The sequence below is a fragment of the Homo sapiens genome, chromosome 12 (genome assembly GCF_000001405.40).
Source record: "Homo sapiens chromosome 12, GRCh38.p14 Primary Assembly".
Classification (NCBI taxonomy): domain Eukaryota; kingdom Metazoa; phylum Chordata; class Mammalia; order Primates; family Hominidae; genus Homo; species Homo sapiens.
The window spans coordinates 129,108,184-129,125,751 of NC_000012.12; the positions used below are offsets into that span (position 1 = coordinate 129,108,184).

General features: G+C 44.1%; 1 protein-coding gene and 1 long non-coding RNA gene across 3 annotated transcripts in view; one reads left to right on the top strand and one right to left on the bottom strand.

Moving 5' to 3' along the window:
* TMEM132D (transmembrane protein 132D) overlaps window positions 1–17,568 on the bottom strand; it is an 832,300-nt gene that overhangs the window by 36,458 nt on the left and 778,274 nt on the right. The gene's annotated exons all lie outside the window — the stretch shown is intronic.
* TMEM132D-AS1 (TMEM132D antisense RNA 1) lies at window positions 1,507–5,115 on the top strand. 2 transcript variants are annotated; one of them, NR_104172.2, is made up of 4 exons: window positions 1,507–1,574; window positions 2,810–2,956; window positions 3,237–3,332; window positions 4,882–5,115. It is a non-coding gene; the product is annotated as a TMEM132D antisense RNA 1 (long non-coding RNA). The 2 variants fall into 2 exon arrangements; NR_104173.2 differs by lacking the exon at window positions 3,237–3,332.

The window sequence follows — 17,568 nt, forward strand, 5'->3', positions numbered from 1 at the left end:
TAGAATATTCTATCCCTGAACGTCCTTACATCACACACAGACCTTCCACCCATCTTAGTCCACAGAGGGCAGTGAGCCATCACATCGTGGCCACTGGCTTCTCCATGTTCACCGTGTGGCACCTAGAAAACTTCCTGAAAGTTTTATTTTCCTCCTGATTTTGGCAGGTGGGGCCGAGAGAGGCTGCCTGCTTTATTTTCTGACCTGGTTTCTTGGTTGCATTCCTGGGTTTGGGAAGATGACTCAGATCTCAAAGTCCTGGGTAGTAGACGACATACTTGCAGACGATGTCCCTGGTCCTGTTTAGCTTGTGGCTGGGCTGTAATGTTCAGCAGGAGGGAGATGACTCGGCTCAGGTGAATCCTCCCCAAAGGCTGTGGCTGGCTCAGGTGCCAGGGAATGTAATGAGCCACTTGGTTCATTCAGACTCTTCTATCTCCTCTGCCAATTCTGGGGAAGCACTCCCTGGCTCTTATATAGACACACTCAGATGCATGCGGTATTTCCCAAACTTCAGCAGTGCTCAATCTACATGCAGAATTACTGCCATACCCACACATCGTCTTGAGTTCTCAATATTTTGATTAATTGTTTGAAGACTTTATTATGAAAAATGTTAACCAAAGAGAAAGATAAATTGTACAGTGCCTACTCATATACCCAATGCCTCGCTTCCGTAAGTGACATTCTGCTGTGTTTGCTCTATCGCATATCTGTCCACTTCCCAGCTCTCTATTCATCTTCTTTTCTGATTCATTTCCAAGGAAGTTGCAAACATCTGTTTACCCCTCGATGCTCTAGACTGCATGCTATTAACTAGACTTCAATAATCAATTTCTTGTTTTATGTAAAAAACACAACTTTGTACTATTACCAGAGATGGAAAACTACTATCACCGAACATGAACACAATTAAGTCCTTTTAAATAGGGATGGAAAAAGCACAATAGCGTTAGAAGACACCAATAGGATGTGTTCAGAGCTTCTGCGGGAGGAAGAGACCCCAGGCCCGAATGGCCGTGTGAGTTTTTCCTTCTAGATAAAGGTGAGGCATTGCTAGGCTCTGGATCTGGATGTCCTGGGTTAACATTGTTCCAGCTCCTTCACTCTCTGGCTGTGTGACCTTGGACAAGTCACTTAACCTCTCTGTGCCTTGGTTGTCTCCTCTGCAAAATGGGGATGGTGATCATGGTACCAACTTCATTGGGTGGTCTGAAGAGTAAATGAGTTAATATAGATAAACTCCTTAGACTTTTGCCTGCATGTAGCAAACATCCAATTCATGCAGTCACCCTCTGATATGGTTTGGCTGTGTCCACACCATATCTCAACTTGAATTGTATCTCCCAGGATTCCTGCATGTTGTGGGAGGGACCCAGTGGGAGGTAACGGAATCACGGGGGCTGGTCTTTCCTGTGCTAGTCTCGTGATAGTGAATAAATCTCACGAGATCTGATGGGTTTATCCGGTGTTTCTGCTTTTGCTTCCTCCTCATTTTTCTCTTGCTGCCACCACGTGAGAAGTGCCTTTCGCCTCCCGCCATGATTCTGAGGCCTCCCTAGCCATGGGGACCTGTAAGTCCAATGAAACCTCTTTTTGTTCCCCGTTTTGGGTATGTCTTTATCAGCAGCGTGAAAACGGACTAATACACCCTCTCCCTACCAGCGGGTGTAGTCTGATGAGGTCTATGCGGCAGCGTTGGGTGGCAGCCATGGAGGAATGCTGTTGAAATGTCCCTTCTGTCCTCAGGGGCCTTCAGAAGCCACCTGGTCAGTGTCCGAGCATGGCCAAGGTGCAGGGTGGCTGCTGGGACTCCATGCAAGGCTCCTCTATGGGCAACCTCTGCGGCAGCATTTCCTGCTTGGCTGCCCAAGGATTCCCAGTGCTTCCTGCAGTCAGGCACTTCCTGCCCGGTTCTCCCTCCTTCCCATCCTCCTTTCCCAGGGACCAGACCTGCATCGCATCCTGAAGCTCAGCCTGCCTACTCCTTCTCCATCTTTTCTTTATCCTTCACAACTGCAGTCCTCAATTAATCTCTGGTGCACTTAACTCTGTCTGCTTCCTGAAGATGCTCATAGATTCTGAGGATTCCCCATGTGCTGTGATGTGAGAGTTAGGGGCGAGGGAGGAAAACAGCCAGCTCCACTACCTGTCTACCCTCCCTCCCGACCATTGAGAAAGTTCCCTGTTAGAGATTCATTCCTTTGGACCATGAAGCCTTTTGATTCCTATTAACCTTGAGTGAGTCACGCTTAAGCCTTTTAAAAAATTTTCTGAGTTTTTGTTTGTGAAATATAACATATATACCAATGAACATGAGATATATAAATGCGTTGTATGAATAATTAGAAAGCAAACTATATTCCAGCAAGCGAAAACATAACACACTGCCCCAGAAGCACCCACAATCCACGAGTAAGCACCTCCCTCCCCCTGAGGTGCATAAGTAAGGAGAGGAGGGGCAGAGGAGCTGCCAGGGGAAGGACCAAGGATGTGCTCTATAGGTCAGCCCCCTGGCTCTGCCTCTCCTTGTTGGCAGAGATCAGCCTGAGGGCCGCGCCGCACACCACAGGCCCATGACCCTCCATCGGAGTCACCGGGCGCTGGCTGAACAAGCACCTTCAGTGAGCTCTGGATTACAACACAGCTATGAAAAGAAGCCAGCCGGTGCTCTCCCTACCCATATGGAGAGATTGCCAGGCAGATTCCAAAGTGGAAAAGTCAGAGGCAATACAGGAGGGCCTGTGTGCCCAGCTCCCACTGTGAAAACCAACCCAGCTGATGGGGATTCTTCTCTATTGCTTTGTAGGTCGTCGCTGCCCTCAGCCTCCAGATGCAGCCCCCCTGCCACCTTCAGGACCCCTGGCTCTCCCCTGGACTCAGTAGCGAAAGGGTTTATGTGCTCGGAGGGAGACCTTCAGGAATCTGTGCATAGAATGCCATAGTGCAGAGGAAAGTAAGACTATGCAGTTGTATTTGACTTAAAACCTCCGGAAAGATAAATAGGGAAGCAACAAAACCTACAGGGAACAGGGGAGGAAGAGGGATGGGGCTGCAAGCCAGGGGATGCCTGCAGCCACCAGGAGATGGGGGGAGGCAGGGAGGATCCTTTCCCAGAGCCTCTGGAAGGAGTATGGCCCTGCCTACACCTTGATTTGGATTTCTGGCCTCTGAAACTGTGAGAGAACAACTGTCTGCTGTGGAAAGTAACCTAGGTTTGTGGGAATTCGTTACAGCAGCCCCAGAAAATGGAACAGCTGCTAAGTGAGACTCCTCAGCCAGGCCAGAGAATGTGCATTCTGACGGACTGCTTCTCATTTGCACTGATCACTGTGAGTGTCTGATGGGTGGGCATCCGGCGCCCAGAGAAGGAGTTGCTCTATTATCCTGGCACTCCATAAAGAACAGGTAGAAATAAGCGCTTCTTACCAAGATGAAATCCACCCATCATTTCTGAATGGCTCAGTTTTGATTTCATCTCCCAAGGTGGGTGATAACTGATTATGAAAACCTTCCTCCCTCTCAGTCTCTCAACAAAAGCCTAGCTTTGCCGGTTGCTTTGAGCTGGAGGGTTCTTTGCTTAATATCTAGCAATGCTAGACAGTAATCTTTACTAGGCTAACAGGAATGCTGTCCAAAACGTGCATTTCGAACACAACCTCATGCCATATTTTCAGTCCAGCATTACATATTTAATGCGTGTATCCAGTAAGGGTACCATCCCTGGTGGCACGGAGGTCTTGACCAGCAGTCAGGGGTCCCTTGGCACTCTTCATCATGATGCCCGTGTTTTGCTGCTGGTGGAGGGGCGTGACAGTGTCAGGGCTAGAAAAGTCTGCTGTATCTCTGACATCATTCCTGGCTCCGTAGCCTCTTTACCTGGTTTTCCACCCCTCTTGGAGATTCATGCTAGTCAATATCCTTTTAATAAATTGAATAAGTTCAATTTCTGCGTAAATCAGCCAGAGTTGCTCTCTGTTGCTTGCAAATGAGGATTCTAACAGTGACAAAGATTGGGTATATTAGTGAGGCCTGCCTGGATGCATTCTGGGGTGAATGTATGAAAAGTTGGGAAGGACAGGCAGAATCCTCAGGCTTTGAGCCCATGTAGGAACCAGGGTTTACACCCGTGCTGTCCAAGGTAGTAGCTGCTAGTCACATGTGGCTCTATAATTTCAAATTAATTAAAATTAAGTGGCCGGGCACGGTGGCTCACGCCTGTAATCCCAGCACTTTGGGAGGCCAAGGCGGACGGATCATCTGAGGTCGGGAGTTCGAGACCATCCTGACCAACATGGAGAAACCCCGTCTCTACTAAAAATATAAAAAATTAGCCGGGTATGGTGGCACATGCCTGTAATTCCAGCTACTCAGGAGGCTGAGGCAGGAGAATCACTTGAACCTGGGAGGCAGAGGTTGCGGTGAGCCAAGATCATGCCGTTGCACTCCAGCCTGGCCAACAAAAGCAAAACTCCGTCTCAAAGAAAAAAATTAAGTAAGATTAAAGATTTACTTCCTCTGTTGCACCAGCTACACTAGGAGACTAGGAGTGCTCAGAAGCCACAGTGGCTGGGGGCTGACATATTGGTCTGCACAGGTTCAGAACATCCCTGTCATCACAGAAGGTCTTGGTGAACAGTGCTAGCTTAGAGAATAAAAGAAAAACCTCTCTTCCTTGTGACCTAAGGAAGCCCTGAACCTCTTCTTGCTGTGAGTGTGAAGGGAGAAGCCACTTTGATTCTACTGTGTGAAGTGTCCCATAGTCCCAAGGTCTTGCAATCTTTGTGCTATTGCTATTGAGGGCAGATGCTGTAATGATGTATTAATTGACATAGTTTTCTTTTTTCTTCTGAGCCAAATGTTTTTACTTCTACTCTAAAGGTCTTCTTTCTGAAACCAGCCCAACTTTTCTCCCAGAGAGTATCATGGAACTGAACTTTCAAGATCATGGCATCTGGACATCGAGAAAACAGAACCCTCATCTGGCCACCTGCTGCTTTTTGACCAATTCCCATATAAACCGCTAACTTCAGTCAGTTGGAGGGATGGATTTGAGATTTGCCTTCTGTCTCTCAGGTGATGTCACCAGCAATAAAGCCTTCTTCCCTGGCAATACTCAATGTCTCAGTGATTGGCTTTCTGTCCAGGGGGCAGATGGACCTAGGCTGAACCCCTGGTGTTCAACAACACTCCCATTTCAAATAGTTAGCGATTCACTCACTCTTTTAATAAAAACCTCCCAAGAACCAACTATGAGCCAGGATTACATCTGGGCTCTGGAGATACAGGAGGAAACAAAATGGAAACAAAAATATCTGCCTTCATCGAGCTTACACACTGGGGGAAAAATGACAATCAGTAATAAGATACATTAAAAAGACATATTAGCAACAGGTGCTAAGGAGAAAAATAAAGCAGTGAAGGGTGCTAAAGTGTTCTAGGGTGGAGAGTTTGTAGCTGTAGACCCGTCGGCCAGCGAAAACCCCATTGAAAATGTGTCCTTTGAGACCAGAAAGGAGACAGGAAGAAAGCAAAGTAAGTATCAGGGGCAGAGATAAGAGTCATCTCCTTCTCGGTGGGAAAGGGCCGGGCTGGGTGGTCTCTGTAGAAGGAGAGCAATACATGGCCTGGGGCATTCTTGGCTCTGACATTCCAAAGACATTGATCTTGACAGAAGACCAGGGGCCCACTTGCAGCAAGAGTTTCCAGCAGGTAGATGAGATTGAGACTCTCCCAGCTGGGTAGGGGATGGAATGGACAGTAAGGGCTTCAGCAGGAGGAGACCTCTGACCACCACCCAAGCAAGCTCTGGGAAGTGCCTGGAGACCATTCATTTTCCCTGCTGTGAGGGCCAAGGAACTGTCCTTTTCTGGCCTCAGGTACAGACATCCCTCAGCAACAGACAGTCCAACATCAGTTGTCCATGCATAGAAGGTACACCTGCCTGATACCTGGGGCTTCACCCAGCATTGCATACACTCTTGGCCAGGGATCTTTGGATGGGAATTATTTGTTCCCTGTTCCCAGCGGACATATGGCAATGTCTGGGGACATTTCCATTGTTACAGTGGGGAGGGGGATGTTATTAGCATCTGGTTAGTAAGGACAGTGATGCTGCTAAACATTCTATAATGCACAGGACACCCCCACCACAAACAATTATCCAGCCTCCATGGTGTCAAGTTTGAGAAACAGTTGGAAACTCCTTCCTTCCTTCCCTCCTTCCCTCCTTCCCTCCTTCCCTCCTTCCTCCCTCCCTCCCTTTTCTTTTCTCATCTCTTCTCTTCTCCTTCCCTTCCTCCTTTTATTACTGTAAAAAAACTTTTAATTTATCCTTATTTAACTTTTTATCGCATACAGCTAAGTGTACAAATCATGAACGTGCAGCTCAATGACATTTCATGAAGCAAACAAACTTACTTCATGCAGACCCACTTCAACAACCAGAACACTGTCATCCTGCCAGAAGCCCCTCGCATGCCCCTGCAGCCACTACTCTGGCTCTTATCCTCTAAGTAAACTCTAACCTGCTTTCTAATGTCGCCACCTCGTTTTCCCTGCTGTTGACCTTTGGAGTAAATGGAATCACACCAGATGTACGTGTTTTCCTAGTTCCTTTTACTTAATGGAATGTTTGTGAGATTGGTCGCATTGTTGTGTGTGGTTGTATTTTGTTCCTTCTTGTTGCTGGATAGCATTCCATTGCGTGAATATACCACAATTTATTTGTTCATTTTGCTATTTCTGGACATCTGGGTGTTTCCAGCTTCTGGCTATGACTGATAATGCTGCCATGAACCATCCTGTACGTATTTTTTGATGAAGACACTTAGGTATTTCTGTAGAGTATATACCTAGGCGTGGAAAGGGTCACAGAGCTCGTATACATCCTCTTTTATTTTCACTCAAGCTGCTTTATTTCTGCAAAAGTGCCCAGAGCATTCTTTTAAAACATGAACTTATCACATAACTACCAGTGACATCTCATGTCGCTATCCAGACATGGTCTAAAAACACACCAATTGTTTTCCATTGCTTTAGGATAAGACATCAAATTCTTAGCAGGACCCACAAGCATGATCTGGCTCCTGCTGGGATCTTTGAGCTCAGCCAACACGATTATCCTCCTGGACGATGCAATTCACCTTCCTTAGTTCCCTGAACTTGGAAGGATGGGAGAGTGTCTCTATCAAGACCCCAGGATGTGATGAAATCTTTGGGATGGAGGTCGGGTCTAGGGGAACTAGAAGGCTGTGGATATGAGAGAGGCACTGCTTGTTCAGGTGCAGGCATCGGGGACTCAGTGGAATTGGCTATAAATCTCTTACTAAAGAGGGCTGGCGTCAGGGCATATTCCTGTGTTATTAAATAATGATACTCGGAGTATATGAAGCAGGAAGTATGTGTCCTGCCATGATGAAGATATATTTTCAGATGCAGAATAAAAAAGGACAGGGATTGTGAGTCAGGGCTAGGTGGACACTGGGATCCCCCAGGCACACTGGGCAGTCACGACAAGTAAGCCCTGCTCCTACGCCAGTGGAAGCCAGGGCCTGTAAAGCATACGTCACAAACTCCAGGCAGAGGTGACTCATGGATCTCACCTGGATGAGTGTCTGCCACTTTCTGGCTGGACTGGCTGCAGAGGTCAACGCAGGGAGCTCTCAGGGGGCATGTGGTGGTGGCCACATCTCCCCTTGGCTGGATACAGCCTTCTTGAGGACATGGAGGGGCCCTCACAAAGGGGACAAAGGGAGCAGTACTGGACACAGGCATTATTCAGAAACCAAGGGACACACTCTTTTGTGTTTGGCTGAATTCAGGATAAAAATGCCTCCGCAGGCCATCTGCAGAGAAATTCCCCCACTGCCTCTTTGCAGGCACCCCGTGAGACTCCTGCCTCCAGCCAGGGCCTCCTCCAGAGGAAGACCTTACCCAGAGAAGTCTAGGGTTTGTCTCCATCTATGGAGCTGAGAAGCTTCACCTGGGGAGTCCAAGGTGCTCAACTGGCAGGTGAGTGGAAGAGAGGCTGGTTAAGGTGGGAAGACCTGAGGGAACATGGTGAGACCTTATGGCATGGCACATAGAGGGAAATGATACGTGGTCACATCCACTACTATTCTTCTCAGGGAAAGACAACAGCTGGCCAGTCCTAGTCATTTATTAGAGAGAAAGGCACATTAACACTGCAAATCTAAATCTGTATGCCCAGTGGAGAATGATAGTAATAAAAGCAAACGTTTAGAAAGACCCTGGGAAGAAAATGTAAAGACAAGCCACAGATTGGGAAACAATAGTTGCAAACACATATCTGATTAAAAAAAACTAGTATAGAAAACATACAAAAATTCTTAAAACTCAACAATAAGATAACCCAATTAAACAATAGGCAAAGATTTGAACAGACATCTTACCAAAGAATATATACAGATGGCAAATAAGCATATGGAAAGATGCTCAATGTTGTATATATCACCAGGGAATTTCAAATTAAAACAACAATGAGATGTGATTATATTCCTAGTAGAACAGCTACAATCCAAAATACTGACAACACAAAATGCTGCTGAGGATATGGAGCAACAGGAACTCGTATTCACTGCTGGTAGGAATGCAAAGTGTACAGCCACTTTGGAAGACAGTTTGGTAGTTTCTTACGAAATTAAACATATCTTGCCATTCAACCAAGCAACTGTCCTCCTTGGCATTTACCCAAATGAGCTGAAAATTTCCGCAAAAAAAAAAAAAAAAAAAAAAAAAAAAATCTGTACGTGAATGTTTAGAGCAGCTTCATTCATAATTGCCAAAAATTGGAAGCAACCAAGATATCCTTTAGTAGGTGAATGGATAAATAAACCGTGGTGTGCTATATAATGGAACATTATTAATTGATAAAAGGAAATGAATTGTTAAACCAAGAAAAGACATAGAGGAACCTTAAATACATATTACCAAGTGTAAGAAGCCAGTCTGAAATGGCTATATTCTGTATTCTATATTAGATTCTGTATATATTCTGTATGACATTCTGGAAGAGGTAAAACTATAGAAACATTAAACTGATAGCTGGTTGCTAGGGGTTCAGGGGGAGGAGGGGGGAGGAATGAATAGATGGAGAAGAGGGGATTTCTAGGGCAGTGAAAATATTCTGCATTATATTATAATGGTAAATGCATGTCATTACGTATCAATCAAGACCCTAGACTGTACAACACAAAGTGAACCCTAATTTGAGCTTTGGTAAATAAAAAAGGACCAGTTCAGGTCTGCCCCAAAAGCTGACATTTATATAGTATTTACTATTTTCCACACACTAATCTAAGTGTTTTCCACATATCGGCTTACTTAATTTTCAAGACAGCCCAATAAGGAAAGCATTATTATCATGACCTTAAGAAATGGCCCAAGGTCAAAGCTGGGACCCAGCCTTTCTCCTGGGGCTGCACTTTTAGACATCGTATGACCCTGCCCTGGGTATTCTAACTCAAAAAGACCATTTGGCTCTGAAATGATGATGTGTGATCTCAGACTCTATTGCAGTGGAAGGAAGTATACTAATAACAAAGACTACATGTCTCCTTTTAAGGATTTTTTTCTTTAATTCACAAAGCTTTGTCATATTTTACGAATGTTTCATATTTGCTTTTAAAGTCTGAATACCTCACTGGAGACTTTGTTTTCCATTGTTAATTACTATTTGTCATAAAAATGGGGAGTTGGTATCAACTCATGGCTAAAATGAAGTTGAACAGCAGGAAGCATGTGTGGTGACACGTCAGCCCCTCCTTTCCTGGCTAGAGCTCCCCAGCTCCCACCCTGAAAGTCACTGTTGCTACTGGTATTTTGTGCATCTGCCCAGAGAGAGTCTATGCATATACCAGCACTTAACCATGTATTTTCCTCTTCTTTTAAAACATAATGGCCACCTTGGTATGTTCTGTGCTTTTCCCCTAAAAATACAGCTCAGAAATATTGCAAAATTCTTCTCAATAAGTTTCAGGATTCTAACATTCTGAAGTCGAACCTTCAAAACCATACTTTTGACAATGATAGTTAGATAAATGGAAAATGGATACCAATTTTTCTTTAGACATAAGAGATGGAGATGGAAAAGGTGGTGCTTTGAGTTATTATGAAACATCCCTCACAGCTGGGGTAGGAAGCTGCCACAGGGCAGCCTCTGCCCAGCTCTGCGGTACATGGTCTCAGGCAGCACCTGGTGACCAGGATGCATCCCTCGTCAGCCCCAGCACTCCCTTGGAGCCAGGACAGTGTGTCCATCTTTCACTGTGTGTGCCTTCTGCTGTGCTAGACTCCAGGGATGGCACCAAGACAGCTCCAGTTTCCATTAAAATGGCACATTTTCTACAATGCCTACATTTAGTGATCAACCCGTGGGACTTTTAGAGGGCACTGAATGAAACAATGCTACTTCCAATTAACATCAAAGCAAAACGTACCTGGCACTGCTGTTTTGATATCAAAAAAAGATCTTTAGTGAAATGCCCTTAGATTAATGGCCATGAAATGAATTGAATTCATTGAATGTCCTGGCCATTCCAGGCAAGAGTCCAAGTCTAACAGAGTGTGTTGCCTTTGCTGTAAGAGTGTTGGATGTGGCAGGGTGCTGTAGCTCATATCAGAGGGCATCTCTCAGGCCCTGGAGGGAAGAACTTCAAGGAAAGCACAGCGTATCTATTTCGGCTGCTCAGCTACTCACATGCAGCTCATGTGTTCTTTCTCCAACAGAGGGCCTTCTACAGGGCAGATTTGATGCTCTGACAAATGGAGTGCACTTAGAAAGGCTTACCTGCCCCCGGAACAGCCTTCTCAAGAGAGGGGCAATGACATCTACGCTGCCCTTGCCTTTTAAGCATTTTCCATTGGCTGTTTCATGAGAGGAGGTGGATACCATGACTAAGAGAATGCTGCTGAGACCACAGAAATGACAGAAAGAACTTCAGCTTATAAAGTCAAAACTTGGAAATGGTTTTGACTTTTTAAAATCTTTTTATAGATTTAGGGGAATGCATGCAGTTGGATTTAGGAGTACACGTAGATATACTGTGTAGTGCTAAGTCGGTGCTATTAGTGCACATATCACCCAAATAGAGTACATATCAAAAACACACCCACACTCAGACGTTAGCCACGGCACTATTCATAATAGCAAAGTTACAGAATCAACCTGGGTGTCCACCAGTGAATAACGGGATTAGAAATCTAGTGCGTATGGACCACAGAATACTACTCCACCATAAAAAAGAATGAAATCGTATCTTTTTCAGCAACACGGATGGAACTAGAGGCCATTATCCTAACTAAGGAAATGGTGTTTCTTGACCAGGCTTTATACAAAGAGACTTAGTTGCCAAACCTGAAGGTGCTAAAATTAGGAGCAACCTGAAAGCCTGAAAAAGGTAATTTGCATCAATAATATTAATCCAAATTCAGCACTAACTAGAGCTACAAACAAGACTACACAGGGTTAGTGTAGTTTCTTCATCCAACAAATGTCTGATGAGCACCTCAGGGGAGTCAGGCGCTGTCCTTGGTTCTGGAGATACAGCCATGAATGGTAGGGATGAAGTTTCTGATTTCAAGAAGCTGAAGAAAGCTTAGTCAGGGAAACAGATGTAAATTCAACTAGTGGTGGGCTCTAAGAAAAATAAAATAGGGCAACAAACTGCAAAGGTATGAGGCAGGGGGTGCTGGCAGGAGGGGAAGGAGACAGTGGAGAGAGGTGATATTTTCACTGAGACCTGAATCTTAAGTCACGTGTCAACTGTGAAAAACCTAGGCTAAGGGTATGTAGGAAGAGGAAAAATAAAGGGCAAGAGCAGAGAAATAATAAAAAAAAGACACTATGGCTGGAGCCAAAGTGAAAGAGAGAGGAAGTTGGAGGGGCTTGATCACATGAATCCTGGACCATTATGGTGAGGAGGTTGTATATTATTAGAAGCACTGCATAAGACCATTAGGGTGTTTTGTGCATGAGAGTGAAATGGCTTGATTTACATTTTTAAGAAGCCACTACACCTACATGGTGAGGTACAGTCTATGGGGGCAAGAGCGAAAGACATCAGCAGATGCTAACATTAGAGGGTCAAAGTCTGAGAAGGAACAGGATGCTTGCATGGTGTCAGATTAATACCATCATCAAGTGATCCAAGCTAATCTCACCAATAATTAGTCATATTGGTGCCACATCTCAACATCACACAGGGATGTTCTTACTGGGAAAGTGTAAGTCCAGTCTAATCATGAGAAAGCACAAGATAGACCCAAACTGCGAGGCATTCCAAAATCTACCTGGCCATACTCTTCAAAAGCACGAAGGTTATGAAAAATTAGAAAAAGTTGAGGGGCTGTCCTAAATTGGAGACTTAGAAGACACAACTACTAAATGCATTGTGGGGTCCTGGATTGGATCCTCAAACAAAAAAGGATATTAAGTGAAAAACCAGCCTGTGGTTTAGTTAATAGTATAGATAGATAAGTACAATATTCATATAATTCTCCTGGCTTTAACAATTGCATGATTGTTACATAAATTGTCAACATTAGGAAGATTGAGGTGAAAGGTACACATAAACGGTCTGTACAGTTTTTTCAAATTATTTTTTAATTTACACACAGTGCAGTTCATTTTTTTTTGTTTCGGTATTTGTTTTACAACTTTCTATTAGTTTAGAATTGTTTCCCGGTAAAATGCTAAAGAGTAAAATAAAAATGCTGATAAAAAACAATAAGGCTTCTGTGGTAGGCAGAATAACGGCTCCCCAAAGATGCTCACATCCTCATCCTTGGAACCTGTTAATATGCTAGGTAGGTTACATGGCCAAGGAGAAGTAAGGCTGCTGAGGGAATTAAAGTTTACTAATCAGCTGATTTTATTTTATTATTTTATTTTATTTATTTGTTTTTTTTGAGGCAGAGTCTTGGTCTGTGGCCCAGGCTGGAGTGCAATGGCACAATCTCGGCTCACTGCAACCTCCACCTCCTGAGTTCAAGCGATTCTCCTGCCTCAGCCTCCCAAGTAGCTGGGATTACAGGTGTGCACCACCATGCCTGGCTAATTTTTGTATTTTTAGTAGAGACAGGGTTTTAACATGTTGGCCAGGCTGGTCTCAAACTCCTGACCTCAGGTGACCCACCCCCATTTAGCCTCCCAAAGTGCTGGGATTACAGGCATGAGCCACTGCACCTGGCCCACTAGTCAGCTGATTTTAAAATAGGGAGATTAGCCTAAATTATCCAGGTGGAACCCAGGGTCCTTAAAGTTAGAAAGGGGCAAAAGAGTCATTTGGGAAAGAAGATACGAAGATGGATGCAGAGTAGGAGTGAATAATTTTGAGAAGGACTCAACCCACTGTTGCTGGATTTGAAGATGGAGAATGGGGCCCCCGAGCCCAGGAATGCAGAGGGACTCTTGAAATTCAAAGCGGTGAGGAAGCACATTCTCTCCAAGACCCAGAGAAGGAAAATGCAGTCAAAGGAAACCAATACAGTACTACACTACACCCCGGCCACCACAGCACACAGACACAGAAAATATGTGGAGGGATAAAGATGATCAAAAGCCATGGTAAGCATCCAGGACACATTTATGTTGGTGGTTTGGACATTGGACGAGGTGTAGAGATAAAATAGTTTGATATTTTTAGAGGTGGAGTCAACAAAAACTGCAGCTAGACTGGATATTGAGGGTGAGAGAAAGGGAGGGCTCCAGAGTGAGCCTTTGGCTTTTGGCTTTAGGAAGTGGGTGGATGAAAATGGGCAGGTTGAGGGAGACGAGATGGATGGCAGGCTCATGGAAGCCCGCCGATTCTGGCCCTGTTCTTCCGAGGCAGCCCTAGAATGCAGTCACTCATCTCCATGGCTTCCACCACTGCTGCAGAGCGATGCTGGGTGACCCGCCAGTGTGACTCCATGTGGCTGTCCCTAAGTTTAGATGGCTTTAGTTTAATTGTGTCCTCACTGTAAATTTAGCATGTGGGCCACACGGCCTACTGCCCTTGCAGAGCTCACCTTCCTTCCTTCCAGAGCTGAATGTGTACTGCTCATCTCTGGGCATATTGTGCACACCAGACATACCAGATGCTGTGGGGGAAAGCAAAGTGGGTGACATAGAAGGAAAGTAAAGTGGCTTAACAGAGTTTTTCTGCTCTAGCTGGGTAAAGAGGACACACTGGAAATGTCTTCAGAGTAACATTCAACGCTTACAACCTGGTACTACCATCAGTTTTGGCACCTGTGAATTTGCTGCTAGACACCATGAGCTCCTCAAAAGGAGGGACTCGCCTGATTTATCTCTGTATCTCCAGGACTTGGTATATGGCATTCAATAGAGGATCAATAGATATCTATTGAATGATCAAGTCAAACCCCAAGAGGGTAAAAACTGAGGCATCAGAAGCTCGATTCCAGAAAATTGTTCCAATCATGCTCCCTGTGAAATTGGAAGTGGAAGATTCTATTCTCCTCTGTGCTTCGTAAGACATGAATTCCTTCTCATCAAAATTTACTTGATAATGGAGTATATGAAATAATAAATGTACCCTACATTTTCTTTTGTAGTGAGAATTATGCAAAATAGGTTTTATCAGAATTTCTGAGTTTAAATGCCTTACTTATTTGACATGAAATACTGAAGTTAACATAAAACTCATAACACATCACACCAAAGAAACATTGATGACAAACTGGTTATGGTGAATGATTTCCAGGAAAGTACGGAGTATTTAAGATTGGTCGCCTTGCATAAAAAACTTGAAAGACCCTGAAATCTTACAGCTTACATATAAGAAAGATACTTGGTAGATTTTTCTCAAATCTGAGGATAATCATAAAATATATGTAACATTAAAAATATGGAGTTATAAAGCAGAAAGGAACTTTTCTAAACTATCAATAATAAAAAATAAATTTTTGTTGACTATGCTAACATAAAAAATGAGCTATCTTTCAGTTATTTCATGAATAAAGCAGTTATAAAATCATGGCCATGACTGTTCAAAGCCAATTTAGAAAAAGGTATTACATAGGTGGTTCAAGCTGTTACTTAATAAAGACATTGTGTTATATTTTATATATTTTATGATGCTTATAGAATTTTCCAGCTTTTGACAGTTTGTAATTAGTTGTTGATTTTTTTTTCAACCTAAATATTCGGTAATTCCGTGTACATAATTTTGTGTTTATTTTCTTAGACACGTGCCCCCAGGTCAACTGTAGAAGCTTCAACTCCCAAAGAACCTGGGTCTGCCTCCACCACATCCTGCAGTTTCTGGGGATGCTACTCTCCTCCTCTCTGTTCTGTCTATGTGGGGTCTCCAGGGTCCATCCCAAGCCAACTCAGGAAATGATCCTTCAGTGATTTTCGCAAAGGATACTGTGATGGTTGACTTTATGTGTCAACTTGACTGGGTTAAGGGATGCCAGATTCCTGGTAAAACATTATTTCTGGGTGTGTCTGTGAGGGTGTTTCTGGCACAAATTAATTTGAAGCAGTGGACTGAGTAAACCAGATTCATCCTCCCCAGTGCGGATGGGCCTCATCCAGTCTGTTGGGAGACTGGATAGAACACAAAGATGGAGGAAAAGCTTCTCTCTCTCTCTCTCCTTTTACTGGGAAATCCATCACTGTCTCCCCTTGAACAGTGCCCCTCCTGATTCTCAGGCCTTTGGATTCAGAATGCGAGTTACACCTTCAGCTTCCCTGTTCTTGGGCCTTTGGGTTTGGACTGGAACTCCACCACCGGCTTTCCAGGTCTCCAGCTGCAGAAGGAGGATCATGGGACTTCTCAGCCTCCATAACTGTGTGAGCCAATTCCTATAATAAATCTCCCCATCTGTCTATCTATGTGCAGCCGACTGGTTCTGCTTCTCTGGAGAACCCCAACTAATACAGGTAGCCTCATGGTGAGTTTTCCACAAATTGTTAAACTTTCTGCAGATTTACAGGGTTACAGGGAGGGCTCCGTGGCTCCCATGTGGCCTCACAACCTCTCTTTCTCCACTTCTGCCTCCTCCCTCAAAATGACAAGCCCAGAGCTCTCTTCATCTAATGAAGACTAATCTCACCCACATCCAGGACCCCCAAGACTCACCTTGAACGTAGAGGTACTTCTATTTCCCAAAATAGGAAGCTGTACCTTAATACATTTATGTGCATAAATGTTAATTGTGCAACTCAGTGAATCTTTATATCTGTGCAGCCCAGTATCGTCTATGAGATCAAAACATGGAACATTTGAGCTCTCCTAAAATCTCTCTAGTTGCTTACTTCCATCCTTCCCCCATCCAAGTTAACCATTATTTTGGTTCCTCTCACCATAGGTCAGTTTTGCTCATCCTAGAACTTCACATAGAAGAAACTGTGCCACCTATTAGCTTTTGTTTCTGGCTTCATTGCTCAACTTCTGGCCTGTGAGATGTATCCAGGCTCTTGCCTTCAGTGTAGTTCACTCTTCTGTGTTGCTGGGTAGTATTTCATTGAATGGGCACAGAATGTGTTTGTTCACCTATTGATGGAGAATTTGAGTCATTTCCAGCTCTGGGCTATTATGAATGAATTTGCGGTGAACATCCTTGTACATAACTTTTGGTGAGTATATGCCCTCATTTTTTGGAAACTGCTTGGTCTTTGGGAAGACCTATGCATCATCCCCAGAACTTTCAAGAGCTCCCCCTCCCTCTGAGCCAACAAACTCAGTTTCCACTCTAAGAGGAATTCTGGTGCAAGCTATTAATGTAATTACATTTCCCCACCTCATTACAATTAAGCGACTGCCTCTGTAACTAATCCTAAGAGGAAGACCTGAAGAGATGGCATATTTACCTTAGGGATAAAGCCCATTCTGGCAAGGCTGGAGGGGGGATGTCTGGCTTTTATTATTGATGTTTCATGCTCTTCTGCAAGTCTGCGGAGGTGATGATGCAAATACACTCAGAAATAATGTGACATGTTCCTGGAAGTGTGTTCATTTCCAGAGGAATTATGTACTTTAATATTTGAAACATTGAGACCATCTATTAAACACACTTCTGAGATGCTATCTCCTAATAGAAATTGTGTGTGATCAGAAAGGAGAAGTTGAGGAGACATTCTGGATTCCCTCCACCCTTTCAGAATTTCACCAGAATTGGTTCAGCAGTTCTAAGCTATTTTGATGTAAGACACAATTCCCCTAGCTTGAATCTTCTTAATCGTCCTGTGATTAAGAAAAAATTTCCAACCCTGTGTAGACTAACACTTTTGTACAATACAATAAAAATATGTTTAGGTGATGTGACGATGTCGAATTACTATGAGTTTTTTTTTTTTTTTTTTTTTTGAGACAGGGTCTCGCTCTGTCACCCAGGCTAGAGTGCAGTGACACAATCACAGCTCACTGCAGCCTCAACCTGCTGGGCTCAAGCTTCCTGTGTAGCTGGGACTACAGGTGTGTACAAACATGTTTGGTCAATTTTTCTTTTCTTTTTTCTTTTTTTTTTGGTATAAACGGGGTTTTGCTATGTTGCCTAGGCTGGCCTTGAACATCTGGACTCAAGCGATCCGCTCGC